The sequence below is a fragment of the Homo sapiens genome, chromosome 15 (genome assembly GCF_000001405.40).
Source record: "Homo sapiens chromosome 15, GRCh38.p14 Primary Assembly".
Classification (NCBI taxonomy): domain Eukaryota; kingdom Metazoa; phylum Chordata; class Mammalia; order Primates; family Hominidae; genus Homo; species Homo sapiens.
The window spans coordinates 74,359,613-74,372,095 of NC_000015.10; the positions used below are offsets into that span (position 1 = coordinate 74,359,613).

At 46.8% G+C, this 12,483-nt stretch overlaps 1 protein-coding gene, 1 long non-coding RNA gene and 1 pseudogene across 4 annotated transcripts in view, besides 26 other annotated features; 2 read left to right on the forward strand and 1 right to left on the reverse strand.

Annotated features, from left to right (window-relative positions):
* Positions 1–8,034, reverse strand: part of CYP11A1 (cytochrome P450 family 11 subfamily A member 1) — a 29,885-nt gene extending 21,851 nt beyond the window's left edge. Inside the window, exon 1 of one of the 2 annotated variants that reach the window (NM_000781.3) lies at positions 7,705–8,034. In NM_000781.3, the coding sequence (NP_000772.2) occupies positions 7,705–7,973 (269 nt within the window). In that variant the 5' untranslated portion in view covers positions 7,974–8,034. Of the gene's footprint in view, positions 1–6,103; positions 6,583–7,704 lie in introns of those variants that run through there. The other variant, NM_001099773.2, reaches the window with a different exon arrangement.
* PPIAP46 (peptidylprolyl isomerase A pseudogene 46) lies at positions 1,940–2,429 on the forward strand (annotated as a pseudogene). Its single transcript, NR_045207.1, has one exon. The product of NR_045207.1 is annotated as a peptidylprolyl isomerase A pseudogene 46 (transcript).
* Positions 5,850–11,600, forward strand: LOC124903524 (uncharacterized). Its single transcript, XR_007064709.1, has 2 exons — positions 5,850–5,893; positions 6,050–11,600. It is a non-coding gene; the product is annotated as an uncharacterized LOC124903524 (long non-coding RNA).
* Positions 6,417–6,576: a silencer, noted in NCBI's record as "silent region_6646". NCBI's record gives its function as "represses an Ori minimal core promoter by ATAC-STARR-seq in GM12878 lymphoblastoid cells {active_cell/tissue: GM12878}" and the evidence as "EXISTENCE:reporter gene assay evidence [ECO:0000049][PMID:35858748]".
* Positions 7,984–10,386: a promoter, noted in NCBI's record as "PvuII/HindIII fragment for 2327CAT construct". NCBI's record gives its function as "cyclic AMP responsive promoter; drives expression in adrenal cortex, testis, ovary, granulosa cells" and the evidence as "EXISTENCE:reporter gene assay evidence [ECO:0000049][PMID:1700277]" and "EXISTENCE:transgenic organism evidence [ECO:0001131][PMID:10579324]".
* Positions 8,058–8,063: a TATA box. NCBI's record gives the evidence for it as "COORDINATES:motif similarity evidence [ECO:0000028][PMID:3038854, PMID:10419010]".
* Positions 8,063–8,090: a protein binding site, noted in NCBI's record as "-50 to -25". NCBI's record gives the evidence for it as "EXISTENCE:protein binding evidence [ECO:0000024][PMID:15613430]".
* Positions 8,067–8,084: a protein binding site, noted in NCBI's record as "SCC1 site". NCBI's record gives the evidence for it as "EXISTENCE:protein binding evidence [ECO:0000024][PMID:12145340]".
* Positions 8,073–8,081: a protein binding site, noted in NCBI's record as "Ad4BP site HSC-a". NCBI's record gives its function as "positive regulation of promoter activity" and the evidence as "EXISTENCE:protein binding evidence [ECO:0000024][PMID:1517227, PMID:9468515, PMID:11328860]".
* Positions 8,129–8,152: a protein binding site, noted in NCBI's record as "P-CRS; -117 to -94". NCBI's record gives the evidence for it as "EXISTENCE:protein binding evidence [ECO:0000024][PMID:8119986]".
* Positions 8,166–8,190: an enhancer, noted in NCBI's record as "-155 to -131". NCBI's record gives the evidence for it as "EXISTENCE:reporter gene assay evidence [ECO:0000049][PMID:7748495, PMID:10644752]".
* Positions 8,166–8,190: a protein binding site, noted in NCBI's record as "-155 to -131". NCBI's record gives its function as "negative regulation of promoter activity" and the evidence as "EXISTENCE:protein binding evidence [ECO:0000024][PMID:16730372]".
* Positions 8,166–8,190: a protein binding site, noted in NCBI's record as "-155 to -131". NCBI's record gives its function as "positive regulation of promoter activity" and the evidence as "EXISTENCE:protein binding evidence [ECO:0000024][PMID:7748495]".
* Positions 8,166–8,190: a protein binding site, noted in NCBI's record as "-155 to -131". NCBI's record gives its function as "may compete with binding and block upregulation of transcription" and the evidence as "EXISTENCE:protein binding evidence [ECO:0000024][PMID:10644752]".
* Positions 8,166–8,190: a protein binding site, noted in NCBI's record as "-155 to -131". NCBI's record gives its function as "positive regulation of promoter activity" and the evidence as "EXISTENCE:protein binding evidence [ECO:0000024][PMID:11349124]".
* Positions 8,166–8,190: a protein binding site, noted in NCBI's record as "-155 to -131". NCBI's record gives its function as "positive regulation of promoter activity" and the evidence as "EXISTENCE:protein binding evidence [ECO:0000024][PMID:10644752]".
* Positions 8,589–8,597: a protein binding site, noted in NCBI's record as "Ad4BP site HSC-b". NCBI's record gives the evidence for it as "EXISTENCE:protein binding evidence [ECO:0000024][PMID:1517227]".
* Positions 8,728–8,736: a protein binding site, noted in NCBI's record as "Ad4BP site HSC-c". NCBI's record gives the evidence for it as "EXISTENCE:protein binding evidence [ECO:0000024][PMID:1517227]".
* Positions 9,612–9,734: an enhancer, noted in NCBI's record as "-1697 to -1523; similar to U-CRS". NCBI's record gives its function as "cyclic AMP responsive enhancer" and the evidence as "EXISTENCE:reporter gene assay evidence [ECO:0000049][PMID:1847689, PMID:8119986]".
* Positions 9,664–9,684: a protein binding site, noted in NCBI's record as "-1597 to -1573". NCBI's record gives the evidence for it as "EXISTENCE:protein binding evidence [ECO:0000024][PMID:15613430]".
* Positions 9,667–9,674: a protein binding site, noted in NCBI's record as "Ad4BP site HSC-d". NCBI's record gives the evidence for it as "EXISTENCE:protein binding evidence [ECO:0000024][PMID:1517227, PMID:11328860]".
* Positions 9,679–9,696: a protein binding site, noted in NCBI's record as "CRE-1". NCBI's record gives the evidence for it as "EXISTENCE:protein binding evidence [ECO:0000024][PMID:8026494, PMID:11864972]".
* Positions 9,693–9,701: a protein binding site, noted in NCBI's record as "Ad4BP site HSC-e". NCBI's record gives the evidence for it as "EXISTENCE:protein binding evidence [ECO:0000024][PMID:1517227]".
* Positions 9,758–9,766: a protein binding site, noted in NCBI's record as "Ad4BP site HSC-f". NCBI's record gives the evidence for it as "EXISTENCE:protein binding evidence [ECO:0000024][PMID:1517227]".
* Positions 9,777–9,785: a protein binding site, noted in NCBI's record as "Ad4BP site HSC-g". NCBI's record gives the evidence for it as "EXISTENCE:protein binding evidence [ECO:0000024][PMID:1517227]".
* Positions 9,904–9,934: a protein binding site, noted in NCBI's record as "AdE1". NCBI's record gives the evidence for it as "EXISTENCE:protein binding evidence [ECO:0000024][PMID:8703023]".
* Positions 9,904–9,962: an enhancer, noted in NCBI's record as "AdE; -1903 to -1845". NCBI's record gives the evidence for it as "EXISTENCE:reporter gene assay evidence [ECO:0000049][PMID:8703023]".
* Positions 9,939–9,962: a protein binding site, noted in NCBI's record as "AdE2". NCBI's record gives the evidence for it as "EXISTENCE:protein binding evidence [ECO:0000024][PMID:8703023]".
* Positions 10,162–10,170: a protein binding site, noted in NCBI's record as "Ad4BP site HSC-h". NCBI's record gives the evidence for it as "EXISTENCE:protein binding evidence [ECO:0000024][PMID:1517227]".

Sequence of the window (12,483 nt, forward strand, 5' to 3'; positions counted from 1 at the left end):
CCCCTTTGACTGTAATTTTCCATGACCTACCCAAATCCTATAAAACGGCCCCACCCCTATCTCCCTTCGCTGACTCTCTTTACGGACTTAGCCCACCTGCACCCAGGTGATTAAAAAGCTTTATTGCTCACACAAAGCCTGTTCAGTGGTCTCTTCACAGGGACACGCGTGAAAGAGAGAACCCTGAAATCTGGCATGCCGGTGAAAGGATAAGAATTTCTTATGAGTCAGTCTCTGGGCTCTTTCCCTCTATGCAAACTGGTTAAATATAAAGTAGAAGTCACGTATATCTCCTCTGTAAGATTTTAAATTAATTGGTTTAATAATAATAAAAGCTTAAGTCAAATATTTTGTCAGAAAAGTAGAAAGTGTAATGCCTTTTAGTTCATGTGACTTTAGCAATAGTTGGGAAATAAAGACAGTTTTCAAGATTATTGGAAAAATACAGTTGTCTTCAAAATGTAAACATGTGGTGTACATTATGTTCAAATACTAGGTTTGCTAAATCCTTTAACATCATAAGCTACTCCTTTGGCTTTTGAAAATTGTTTAACTTGCCTGCTTTCCAGCTAGGTAAGGCCTGGGGACACGTGGAGTTAGCCATGCCCCTAGCTGTGCTGGAAGTAGTCAAACCTTATCAGAAACTTTATCAGAACTTACCAGTTTTTTTTGTTTTTGTTTTTGTTTTGACAGAGTCTCACTCTGTCCCCCAGGCTGGAGTGCAGTGGCGCAATCTCGGCTCACCCACAATCTCCATCTCCCAGATTCAAGCAATTCTCTGCCCTAGCCTCCTGAGTAGCTGGAATTACAGACGCCCGCCACCACACCTGGCTAATTTTTTATTATTATTTTTAGTAGAGATGGGGTTTTACCATCTTGGCTAGGCTGGTCTTGAACTCCTGACCTCATGATCCACCCGCCTCGGCCTCCCAAAGTGCTGGGATTACAGGAGTGAGCCACCGCGCCTGGCCTAACTTACCAGGTTTTATGTTAAAATTCGCCATTATAGGCCAGTCACAGTGCCTCGCACCTGTAATCCCAGCATTTGGGGAGGCCGAGGCAGGTGGATCACCTAAGGTCAGGAGTTCAAGACCAGCCTGACCAACATGGTGAAACCCCCATCTCTAGTAAAAATACAAAATTAGCTGGGCAAGGTGGTGCCTGCCTGTAATCCCAGCTACTGGGGAGGCTGAGGCAGGAGAATCATTTGAACTCAGGAGGCAGAGGTTGAAGTGAGCCGAGATCATGCCATTGCACTCCAGCCTGGGCAACAAGAGTGAAACTCTGTCTCAAAAAAAACAAATTTGCCATTATAACATGCAATTAAGACTACTAGAAACAGTTTTACATGCAAGGTGTATAAGAACAGTAGAAAGTGTTGGGGGTTTTTTTGTGTGTGTGGAAGGTTACAAAAGGTTTTTGCTTCTTTAAAATTTCTGAGTCATCATTTTGGCAAAATAAATAGTTTACGGTAATCTGGAATTCCAAAATCAAACTTCAGTTTCAAAATTGTCTTTCCTAATGCCTGGCTTTCTAGATGAATCAGAGGGCCCCTGAAAACATCCAGAAAAGAGGTAAACAGGATTATTTGACATGTTTAGGTACATGGGATTGACAAAATGATGTTAAATCTTCTTTAGGTTATATTTTTGTGAATAATATATTCCAAAATTGTATGGGATTTCTCAAATTCTAATGTCTAAGTATATGTTACCAATCACAATTATAATTATGTTAAGTTATTGTAAACCACAAAAATGACCAAATTTTCTTGTATAAAGCTACTAACCCACGTAAAACAACAACAACAAAAAATTAATTACATATCAAGAAAAGACTTTCATGTTAAACCAGCTAATACTGAAATTGTTTAAAATAGTTTATAACCTGTCGCTTTGCAGATGCCGTCACTGCCACCAGGAGCCCTGTACTATCAGCCATGGTCAACCCCACCGTGTTCTTTGACATCGCAGTCACGGCGAGCCCTTGGGTCACGTCTCCTTTGAGCTGTTTGCAGACAAGATTCCAAAAACAGCAGAAAACTTTCATGCTCTGAGCACTGGAGAGGAAGGATTTGGTTATAAGGGTTCCTGCTTTCACATAATTATTCCAGGATTTATGTGTCAGGGTGGTGACTTCATATGCCATAATGGCACTGGTGGCAAGTCCATCTATGGGGAGAAATTTGATGATGAGAACTTCATCCTAAGGCATACACGTCCTGGCATCTTGTCCATGGCAAATGCTGGATCCAATACAAACGGTTCCCAGTTTTTCATCTGCACTGACAAGACTGAGTGGTGGATGGCAAGCATGTGGTCTTTGGCAAGGTGAAAGAAGGCATGAATATTGTGGAGGCCACGGAGCGCTTTGGGTCCAGGAATGGCAAGACCAGGAAGAAGATCACCATTGCTGACTGTGGACAACTCTAATAAGTTTGACTTGTGTTTTATCTTAACCACCAGACCATTCCTTCTGTAGCTCAGGACAGCACCCTCCACCCCATTTGCTCGCAGTATCCTAGAATCTTTGTGCTCTCGCTGCAGTTCCCTTCCATGCCTAGCTGGACTGCAGAGTTGAGTTAAAGTTTATGATTATGAAATAAAAACTAAATAACAACAAAAAATTGTTTATAACCAATGCTTGATCCCATATTCCTAGGAAAACAATTAAAGCTTCAGGTATATTTGGTCTTCTGGTCAGCCATTTAAACATTTTATAAAGGGATTTCATTCCATTGTTATTTTCCATGCATGTTTTCTGGTTGTAGAAAAGCTTTCCCATGCAAGAGGGCTGATGTTATAACAGTAGATTATTATGCTACAGTGTATTTTCACCAGATTAAAAAAAAAAGCTTTTTATGGTTTGAATCTGCTGGAAACATCAGAGAAAGACTGTCCTTGCCATCTACACTATAACAAAACTTCAGGACCTTGAACTTTGGGTTCATAATCTCACAACTGAGAAGGGCCCCTCCATGCTCTTGGAGCTGTGCACCCACTGGAATGCTTAAGGTAAAACTAACTAGGGAAATTTCTCCCAAGAAGAAGATGACATCATTGATGTGAACAGCTTTTCCCAAGTTCACAGATTAAGACTTCTACTATCATGAAACTCTTATTTTTGAATATTTTTTCTTGCTTATGCCTTCTACGAACAATAGAAGTGGAAAAGGGGTCTGTTATGTGCACTTATGGGGAACATTTTTATTTGTGAAGGAGTTTGCAGCCAGCCTTATACATGGATAAAGGCCCAATGTATGTAAGAAACTTTAATGGTAGATGTGTTAGCTCATAATCAATCAAAAACAAAAAATTGATTCACTCCACATAACCCACATCGTGGGTTAAAGAGAACATTGCCAGAAGTCCTTCACTCTTCTGAAAGGGCATCATTTGTTAGGTCCTTTTTCCATGGTTTAAAGTAAAAGAAGCAATGATTAGAAATGTATCCCTCATGATAGGTTCCATAGCAAATTCTACTCTAAAGGCTACAGACTCTAAATTCTCTTGTGAAAGTTATAATAGAATTGGCTAAACAGCGAAGTATCTGTGCAGCTGCTGGCACTTGTGGCCTATACAGAAATACATCAAATGAAGACTATAGAAATTCAGTGGTAGGAGACTGACAAAGAAATTGATTAGTCAAGTCTCTCTCTGTTGCCCAGGCTGAAGTGCAGTGGCGTGATCTTGGCTCACTGCAACCTCCGACTCCCAGGTTCAAGCAATCCTCCTGCCTTGGCCTCCCAAGTAGCTGGGATTACAGGTGCACGTGACCACACCCAGCCAATTTTTGTATTTTAGTAGAGATGGGGTTTCACCACGTTGGCCAGGCTCATCTTGAACTCCTGACCTCAAGTGAGCCACCTCACCCAGCCGTGAGTAAACTGTATCTAGCTCATTCTTAGATCCATTTGATTTTAGGAGGTTTGGTTTATGGGGACCTTGGGTAAGGAGTATACTCCCAAATTCTTGGTATTATCCTCCTAATAGCCATAATAATGGTCTCCCTGACGAGCTGTATGCTCTCAAAGGTTTTAAATGCTTGCATGAGCCATCTCTAGAATGTCATATGGTCTCTCTTCAACTGGAATAACAGGAGCTCAAAGAAATATGCAACCATGAGGACACCATAACCTATAAATGACATGCTGAGACCAGAAACCCAAAATGATGGTAACTGAGAGTGGCACTGAGGCCCTAGGTTTTGGTCACACTCTCACCTAAGTGAAAACCTGATCAAAAAGGGAATTTTTTTCAACAAAATTCTGGGAGGCCGTTGTTTTGGACTGATCTCATGCACTAGGCCCCAACAAACCAAACAAAACCAAAATGGGGCCACTCATGCCAAGACTTTAAGGAAACACATAGATTCTAGAAAAGACTAGGTTTTGTTTTTTCTTCTGCAAATCACTACAACAAACATTTCTGACAGTATAGGTATCCACCCCCTAAAGTTTCCATTAAATCTTTTAACCAAATTCATTTCCTCTCACCTAGAGACCATCAAGCTTCAGATGATCATGTAACAAAGGTTCCAGCCAGTTCCAAGTGAAGACACCACCCCTGGACATCAAGAAGCTACCCTTCCTCCACTAGATAGAGCAGGGTGAGAGTTCCATGATCCCCAATAGGTAGGGACTATGCCCCAAGCCAGCATGAAGCAGTTACAGAAAAAAGACCATCGGTCCCTCTGCCTCCCATAAAGATTTATGGGGATCACATCTCTTGAAGGGGCAGATGAGGCAGGAAAATAGGGTCTGAAGTGTGAAGATCGATTCACACTTCAGCTATAACAGGAAATATCCTCTCCATAGGGTGTATGACTATGTAACTTGAATACTTCATCCTCTCCATTTACATAAGGTGTATCTGAAGTAACCAATGGAATCCTCTGGGGGTAAATGCCCCACAATTCTGTAACGGGACCTTTGAGCCCCTACGCTCCGCCTGCTCCCACACTGTGGTGTGTATGTTCATTTTCAATAAATCCCTTCATTCCTTCCTTACTTTGTCTGTGCATTTTGTCCAATTCTTTGTTCAAGACGCCAAGAACCTGGACACCCTCCACCGGTAACAAAGGGGCTTAATAAAATAAGGAGTTGCTACTGAGGGTCTAGGAAGTGGTGAAAAGGGAAGAGAGGAGGAAGCAAGGATAACTAGAGATCTATGTGAAGTGAGCACGGGACAGAAGCACTAATAGGCCTAGGAGAGAGGGGGAGGAAGGAGAGACCCAGCGGGGCGCAACCTCCCAAGCCCAGCACTCAACCTTGAATAGGGTGGGGTGCGGGGTGGGGGGAGCTCCCTGCCACCAACCAGCTATCAAAAGGGGCAGTTTGGACTTTAAAGGAGTTGTGAGAGAGGGAGGGAGCAGCTGAAGCCCCAACACAAACTAGCCTGCCTTCTCACCCACCCCCAGCCCAGTCATCAAGCCGGCCAACACATCTTACCCTTCCCTCTTCGTGACTGACCCATTGGAATGCTCTGAGTTGTAAAGACCTTTCACTTAAAGGAAAACGTACTGTCCCTCCTGGTCTCCCCTCCCAGCCCCCAACCACCCCTGCGCCACCTCCGTTCCCTCTCAACCGGACTCTTAGCAAAGAACCCAGGTGTGGCTGAAAGGCTGCCCACCGTGGGAACAGCTTTAGCAGTTTTCCCAGGAAAAAGCCACAAGCCCTGGAGGCACAGAGGCCCAAAGACAAAAAAAAAAAAAAAAGGCCTTTCCTCCTAGCAGGAAGCAAGCCCGATTCTTGGGAAAGGGAAGGGACAGACTCAGAGCCTCAGGGCCAAGGGGTGAGATCCAGCACCCCAGCAGGACAGGAATCTAGCTGGGTGACCTCTCTGAGCCTCAGTCTCCTCCTCTGACCATGGGGACAACAAACTTCGCTTGCAAGGTGTGCGGAGGGTAACGGATGTAGGGAGGCATTTAGTAGGGCTTGTTCTCTAACCACCTCTCTCCGAGAGTTTCAAAGGGAGTGGGATCTGGGGAAGGTTGAGGCCTCAGGCCTGGGAACTAGGAATACTTTCCCTTTTACCCACCACCATCCCAGGCCTGGAAGAAGATCAGAAGTTGGACAGGAGAGGTCCGGCCGCGCGGACGTCACCTTAGCGCGCCACTGTCGGCTCCGGTGGGCTCGGGTGAGCTCGGGTGAACGCAGCGAGCGAGGGCAGAGGCCAGCAGAGGCGAGGAGTGGATGCTGCAGGGCCGCAGGCCGGGCAGAGAAACGCATACCGGGTCGCTCCCTGCTTCGCCGCCGCCTCCTGGCAGGGCCAGCGAAGCCAGTGCTCCAGCGCCCCCGTAACACCTCAAAGCGCACGGAGTCCGTGTTGGGGAACTTGGCGGCAGAGTGACTGGGACCTAGGACCTGCGGTGGGGCCGCCGCCGCCTCCGCGGGGCCGAGCGCCTGGACCTCGCCCTGAGGTAAACGCGGGTCGACCCGGGGGGCGGATGGGCTCGGGCTGTGTCGAGGGGAGGCGGAGGTGAGCGACCCGCGAAGAGCGCAGGAGCAGGCCGGGGGCCACGCTAGGGCGGACCCAATTTCGGAATAGCGCGGCCCGGGCGGCGGCGTGCGCTGGGAGGAATGCTGGGTCTGTCGCTAGCGCCAAACTTGACCACGCTGCGACCTTTTCACTCTGTGCTCTGACCTTCAAATCTCCCTCCCCCGATTTTTTTTTTTTTTTTTTTTTTGAGACAGAGTTTCGCTTTTGTTGCCCAGGGCGGGAGTGCAGTGACATGATCTCGGCTCACTGCAACCTCCACCTCCTGGGTTCGGGCGAGTGTCCTGCCTCAGCCTCCCGAGTAGCTGGGATTATAGACCCCCGCCACCATGCCCGGCTAATTTTTTTTATTTTATTTATTTATTTATTTATTTATTTATTTATTTTTGTAGTAGAGACAGGGTTTCACCATGTTGGCCGGGTTGATCTCGAACTCCTGTCCTCAAGTGATCCGCCTGCCTCAGCCTCCCAAAGTGCTGGGATTACAAGCGTGAGCCACCGCACCCGGCCTTCTCCCAATTTTTAAAACTCGCTGGCTGGGCTGACAGCTACAGGGCCAGGAATTCAAAACTTAGCCTCACCAGTCTCCCCTCCTCAGACCGAGGAGGTTGTTTTGTTTTGTTTGAGACAGAATCTCACTCTGTCGCCCAGGCTGGATTGCAATGGTGCGATCTCGGCTCACTGCAACCTCTGCCTCTCCGGTTCAAGCCATTCTCCTGCTTCAGCCTCCCGAGTAGCTGGGATTACAGGCGCCTGCCACCACACCCAGCTAATTTTTGTATTTTTAGTAGAGACGGGGTTTCATCATGTTGGCCAGGATGGTCTCGAACTCTTGATCTCAAGTGATCCGCCCACCTCGGCCTCCCAAAGTGCTGGGATTATGGGTGTGAGCCACCATGCCTGGCCAGACCTGGGGTTTGGACCCATTAAAGAGCTTCCTTACAGATGGCTGGCGGTCTTGCCACCAATTGTTTCAAAAGTAGATGTCTGGTTTAGAGTACTTAAGACATTCACAGATTCAAATGTTGAATTTTGAAATATCCCTGATATATTTCTGTATTGTATTACCAAAAAAAAAAAAAAAAAAGAAGTTAGACAGGAGTTTGGAACCAGAGAACAGCCTGTTGGGGGAGTGGGGACTACAGCAGGGCTACCCAGGCCCCTCCTCCTCCCTGTCCCTTCGGCTCCCACCCTCTGCCAGGCTTACCTGTAAATCGGGCCATACTTCTGGAAATTCTGGACATGGTGAAGGTGGACTTTGTGTGTGCCCGTCTCCCTCCAGAAATGGTACAGGTTTAGCCAGCCATTGTCACCAGGAGAGGGGATCTCATTGAAGGGGCGAGGACTGCGGGTGGAGATGCCAGCTCCCTCGCCAGTGGGCACCCTGAGACGCCCCAGCCCCTCCCTGGGGGCACTCAGAAAGGTCTGGCAGCCTTTGACCAGGACTGAGCGTGGGGGAAGACCCTTGGCCAGCATGCTGTCCCCACAGCTGTGACTGTACCTGCTCCACTTCAGCGGGGACTGCTAGGATGACTGTAGCCCTGGGCCACCAGGGCCAAGATTATAACTACCAGCTCAAGGCCATACCAGAAGCTGATAAAATGTTCACGTCCTTCCTCCTGCTGCAGGCTCAAACCCGCAGACAGCTCCTCCCCTACTCGGTATGAAGGTTCAGTCTGGAATTTCTGCAGCGTGAGGTTCTCCAAAGGACAGGGAGACCCCTCTGTCTCTGCCCTCAGTGCCAGCCCTAGCAGACTCCTGAAATATCTGCCTGTGCTTTTGCCTGAGCTGGGGCCTCCCACTGGCCCCTGCAGCGGAGTCCATGCCCTGGCAGCCATTGGTCAAGACTGCAGACAACCTGTGTTTGGGGGAAATGAGGGGCCCAAGAGAAGGTCAGAGCTATCTTGCCAGCTTGGGCAACATACGTCTTAGTTATGGCCCCACTGTATAGACACACATCATTGAACAACAGGGATAAGTTCTGAGAAATGCATCCTTAGGCTATTTTATTTTATTTTATTTTATTTTATTTTATTTTATTTTAAGAGAGTTTCATTCTTGTTGCCCAGGCTGGAGCGCAATGGCACAGTTTCACCTTGGAACCCTAATCCTCGTCGTCTCTCCCCAGTTGACCCAGATTTGGGGCTGTAATTCAGTACAGCTGACTCAGAGGGGCTCTGGGTCCCTTGAGCTGAGGTCTGTGGTCAGGCTCCACTCTGGACACACTCTAAGACCTTGGCAAATCTGGTTGCCATGGAACTCAGGATGTCAGCTCTTCCCTGTCCACACACTTGATCTGTGCTGCTTTCCCCTCAGAGCTGCTTCCATACCCCCTCCCATCATATCATATCCCCAGACCCATCCTTCCAGCCCAGGTCAGCCCCCACACCCACCCCCCATCACCCTGCACCTACCACTTTCCCAAACAACAAGGGTCAGTCACCTGTAGAGTTTTCAAGTCATTTCAACAAAATTACAGCCCACTTGGTAAAAATGTGTAGGTCAGAAAACATACATGTGCCATGTAGAGCATTTCATGACAGCAATCTACACTATACCTTATACTTATCATTGGAAGGTACAACTTCTTGCTTTTTTTCCCCAAAATCTTATTTTCTGGCAAATAAGGCATTTAAAACACACATCTAAGAGACAGAAAATAGACTGGTGGTTGCTTAGAGCTAGGGGGATAGAGGAATTAGAGGATGGGACATAAAGTGTGTAGGGATTCTTAGGATGATGAAAATGAAAATATTCTAAAGTATATTGTGGTAATTATTGAACAACTCTCTGATACACTAAAAGCCATTGAATTGCATACTTTAAATGGGTGAATTGTATGGTGTGTGAATTATATCTCAATAGAGCTGTTACCAAACACACACACACACACACACACACGAGTGACATCCTCCTGGCCTCTTCTGTTGTATGTGTCAGCCCATAGATCACCCACAATGGCAAAAGTTGTCCTTACACAGCCACTTGACCCCAGACTCCAATACTGTTGAACCACTTTCAACAAATTTAGAGCAACAGTTTTTAGAAGAAAAAAAAAAAGTACTTATCAAGAGTGGTTGTTGCTCTTCCCGCTGGAGTGACCACTACCTCATCAGTCATGAACCTTCTGATAAAGAGAGTATGGAGAAAGCCTGTTTTGCCTCACTGATGACCTTGAGCCTGGAATGACATCAGCCAAGGAAGGCAGTGTCTCACGAGCAGCGGCAGGGTGATGAGCTTCCACAAAGAAAAGCAGTCTTCCAAGGACTAGTTTTTCCTCCAAGGGTCTCAGCACTGAGGTGACATTTATAACTTTCTGACTTAAAGTCAATCCCATTGTTCTACGCAGCCCCACATTCCTCCCTCAGAAGGAGCCCTAATCGATGTGGCATGGAAGAACTTGTGGTCCTCTTGGCAGCCACCCCAACTTCCGTTCAGGCCTCCGCACCTCCCCCAGTGTTGTGGGGCACTGACCGCCTCCCCAGAAGTGGCCCGGGCTGGAGGTTATTGCCTCATCCTCTCCAATGGCCATGGTCACATCACAGCATAGGCCAGCGATTCAGTTTGGGCCAATGAAACACAGGGAAAGGTTTGCTGTGGCTTCTGGGAGAATAGCTCCCTCACTTCTCTGAAAGAGCTTCCAGAAACACATCACTCACTCCAAACAAGGCTGAATGTATTAGCTGTTTACTGCTGCTTAACAAATTATCCCAAAATTTAGTGGCTTAAAACAATAAATGTTTATTATCTCACAGCTTCCGAGGGTGCAGCACCCAGGAGCAGCTTTTCTGGGTGACTGGGTGGCTGGGTGGCTGGGTGACTGGGTGGCTGGGTGGCTGAGTGGCTCATGCTCAGGGTTTCTCACAAGCGGCTGCCATCCCTGAAGCTTGACCAGGGTGTAGGATCAGCTTCCAAGCTCAGTGGATTAAACTGGCCCTGCTTCAAAACTTTTCAGTGGCTGTTTCAGGACTATTGAGAAGATTAATGAATGATACATACATTTCAAAATATATATATTACACATATACATGTGTATATTACATAATTTTTCCCTCCCTCTCTCTGTTCTTGCCAGTGCCCAAACTGAAATTTTCACCCTCTCAAAAGTGATGGGAAGTTAGGGTCCAACCCTCACCAAGCCCCTTACGATGGGCAAGTGAATCCTCTGCTAGGTGAGGTTAGCCTAGTGCTCGGCTATGCCAAAGTCCTTCTTGGCTCTCTCAAGACAGGCCCATACTTATAGTGCTTTCTCCTCCCACTCCTGCCTCCCACATTCTGTAACTATCCTATCATTCTCAGAGTAGAGGGTGTACACATTTAGACCCATCTAAACGTTGCCTAGGACGGGGAACATGATTTTATTCATTGCAGGCAGCTTGGATGGATAAACAGAAAATCCAAATCACAGACTTAAAGAAGATAGAAGTGTATTCTCTCTCCCATAAAGGATGTCCAAGGCTGGGCAGTCCAGGGTGAGTGTGTCAGTCCCAGCAAAATGCCAGGCTCCATCTTCCTGCTTCACCACGAAGACATTTGGTTGGCATTTCTAAGGCCACCCGATGGTCCAAGCTGCTGCTGGAGCATTAACCGTGTTGCTGGCCAGAAGGCGGAAGAACTCAAGAAGACCAAAAGGGGCCCTCCCTGAAGAGCCAGCTTCATTTAAGCCCCTTCCTCAAAGTCCCACACGAGTCCAACCATATCTGATTGGTGGGAACTTAACCACATTGAGGCAGGAGAATAGGGAATTAGGGCAACCAAGGATTAAGGTAGGAACAAAAGAAGAGCAGGTGCAGCCAGTTCACATAAGCAAAAGGCACAGCAGGTACAGCCAATTCTAGGCAGGATTAGGCAACATACAGGCCACATCTTCACTTCTGTGATAACCACAGGCCAAGTCGCCACTTAAGCCTCTAATTGGTCACGGATCAATCCTTCATTGGATGTAACTGATTGGAGGCCTCTGGAGGGCACCGGGGGTGTTCATGTTCTTTAGCTTAATAAAATCTCTAATTGAAGGGGCTCCTGAGCCACTTGCTCAAGCCCACTCTTGCTCTGTGAATTGTACTTGCACATCTTCAATAAATCTGTGCCTTCATTACTCCATTCTTTCGTTGCTTTGTCTTTTGTTGCTTTGTGCGTTTTGTTCAATTCTTTAACATGCCAAGAACCTGGACAACTCAGTCAAGACCTTCCATTCAGTAACCACATGACTGTACCTAGGTACAGGGAGGTAGGTACAGGGAGGCTGGACAATGTCGTTTTGCTCTGGATGGCAATACATCCGCTAGCAGAGGTGCTGGCCAGACCATAGACATAATAATACAGTTTTGTATCATGAAACAAGCAACGGTTTTGGAGCCACATGGACTCAGGTTCAAATCCTAGTTCAACCACTGAGTGGTCGCGTGGCATAGGGCAAGACACTTGAGCTACTTGAGACTTAATTTTTTCATATTTAAAATGGAGATAATCAGACCTGCCTCTCAGAGCTGTTGCAAGATAAAAAAAAGCACTTAAAAGATTCAGAGGTTCTCAAAGTAGCCCACCTAATATCATTGCCTTAAACATCACCCTCTTGCTCAGCTTAGGGTATGGACACCATACATGAAAATTAGGTGATTCTTTCCCTGTTTGTTTTCACATGCACAGCTCAGGGTATTTCACTAAGTCAGATGGTCCCCCCGACTCCACCCTATTTCTTTCTCTGAGGGCATTTCATCTGTTTCGGTGTCACCCCACTCTAACAGTTTAAAGGGAGGAGGGAGAGGCAAGGACCTAAGATGTTTGGAGAGAAATCAGCCCTAGAGATGGGACTCAAGGTTATGGCATTTCTCAGCTTAAGTATCAGATGTGGCTGTTAAAACTATTATTAAATAGATTCCTTTTGCTGTTTGGGGTTTTTCCTGTTTGTTTGTTTGTTTGGCCTTGGGAGGGGTCATGTGGCCATATGGTAAAGAGACATTCCCAAGGAAGGAATGAAACACAT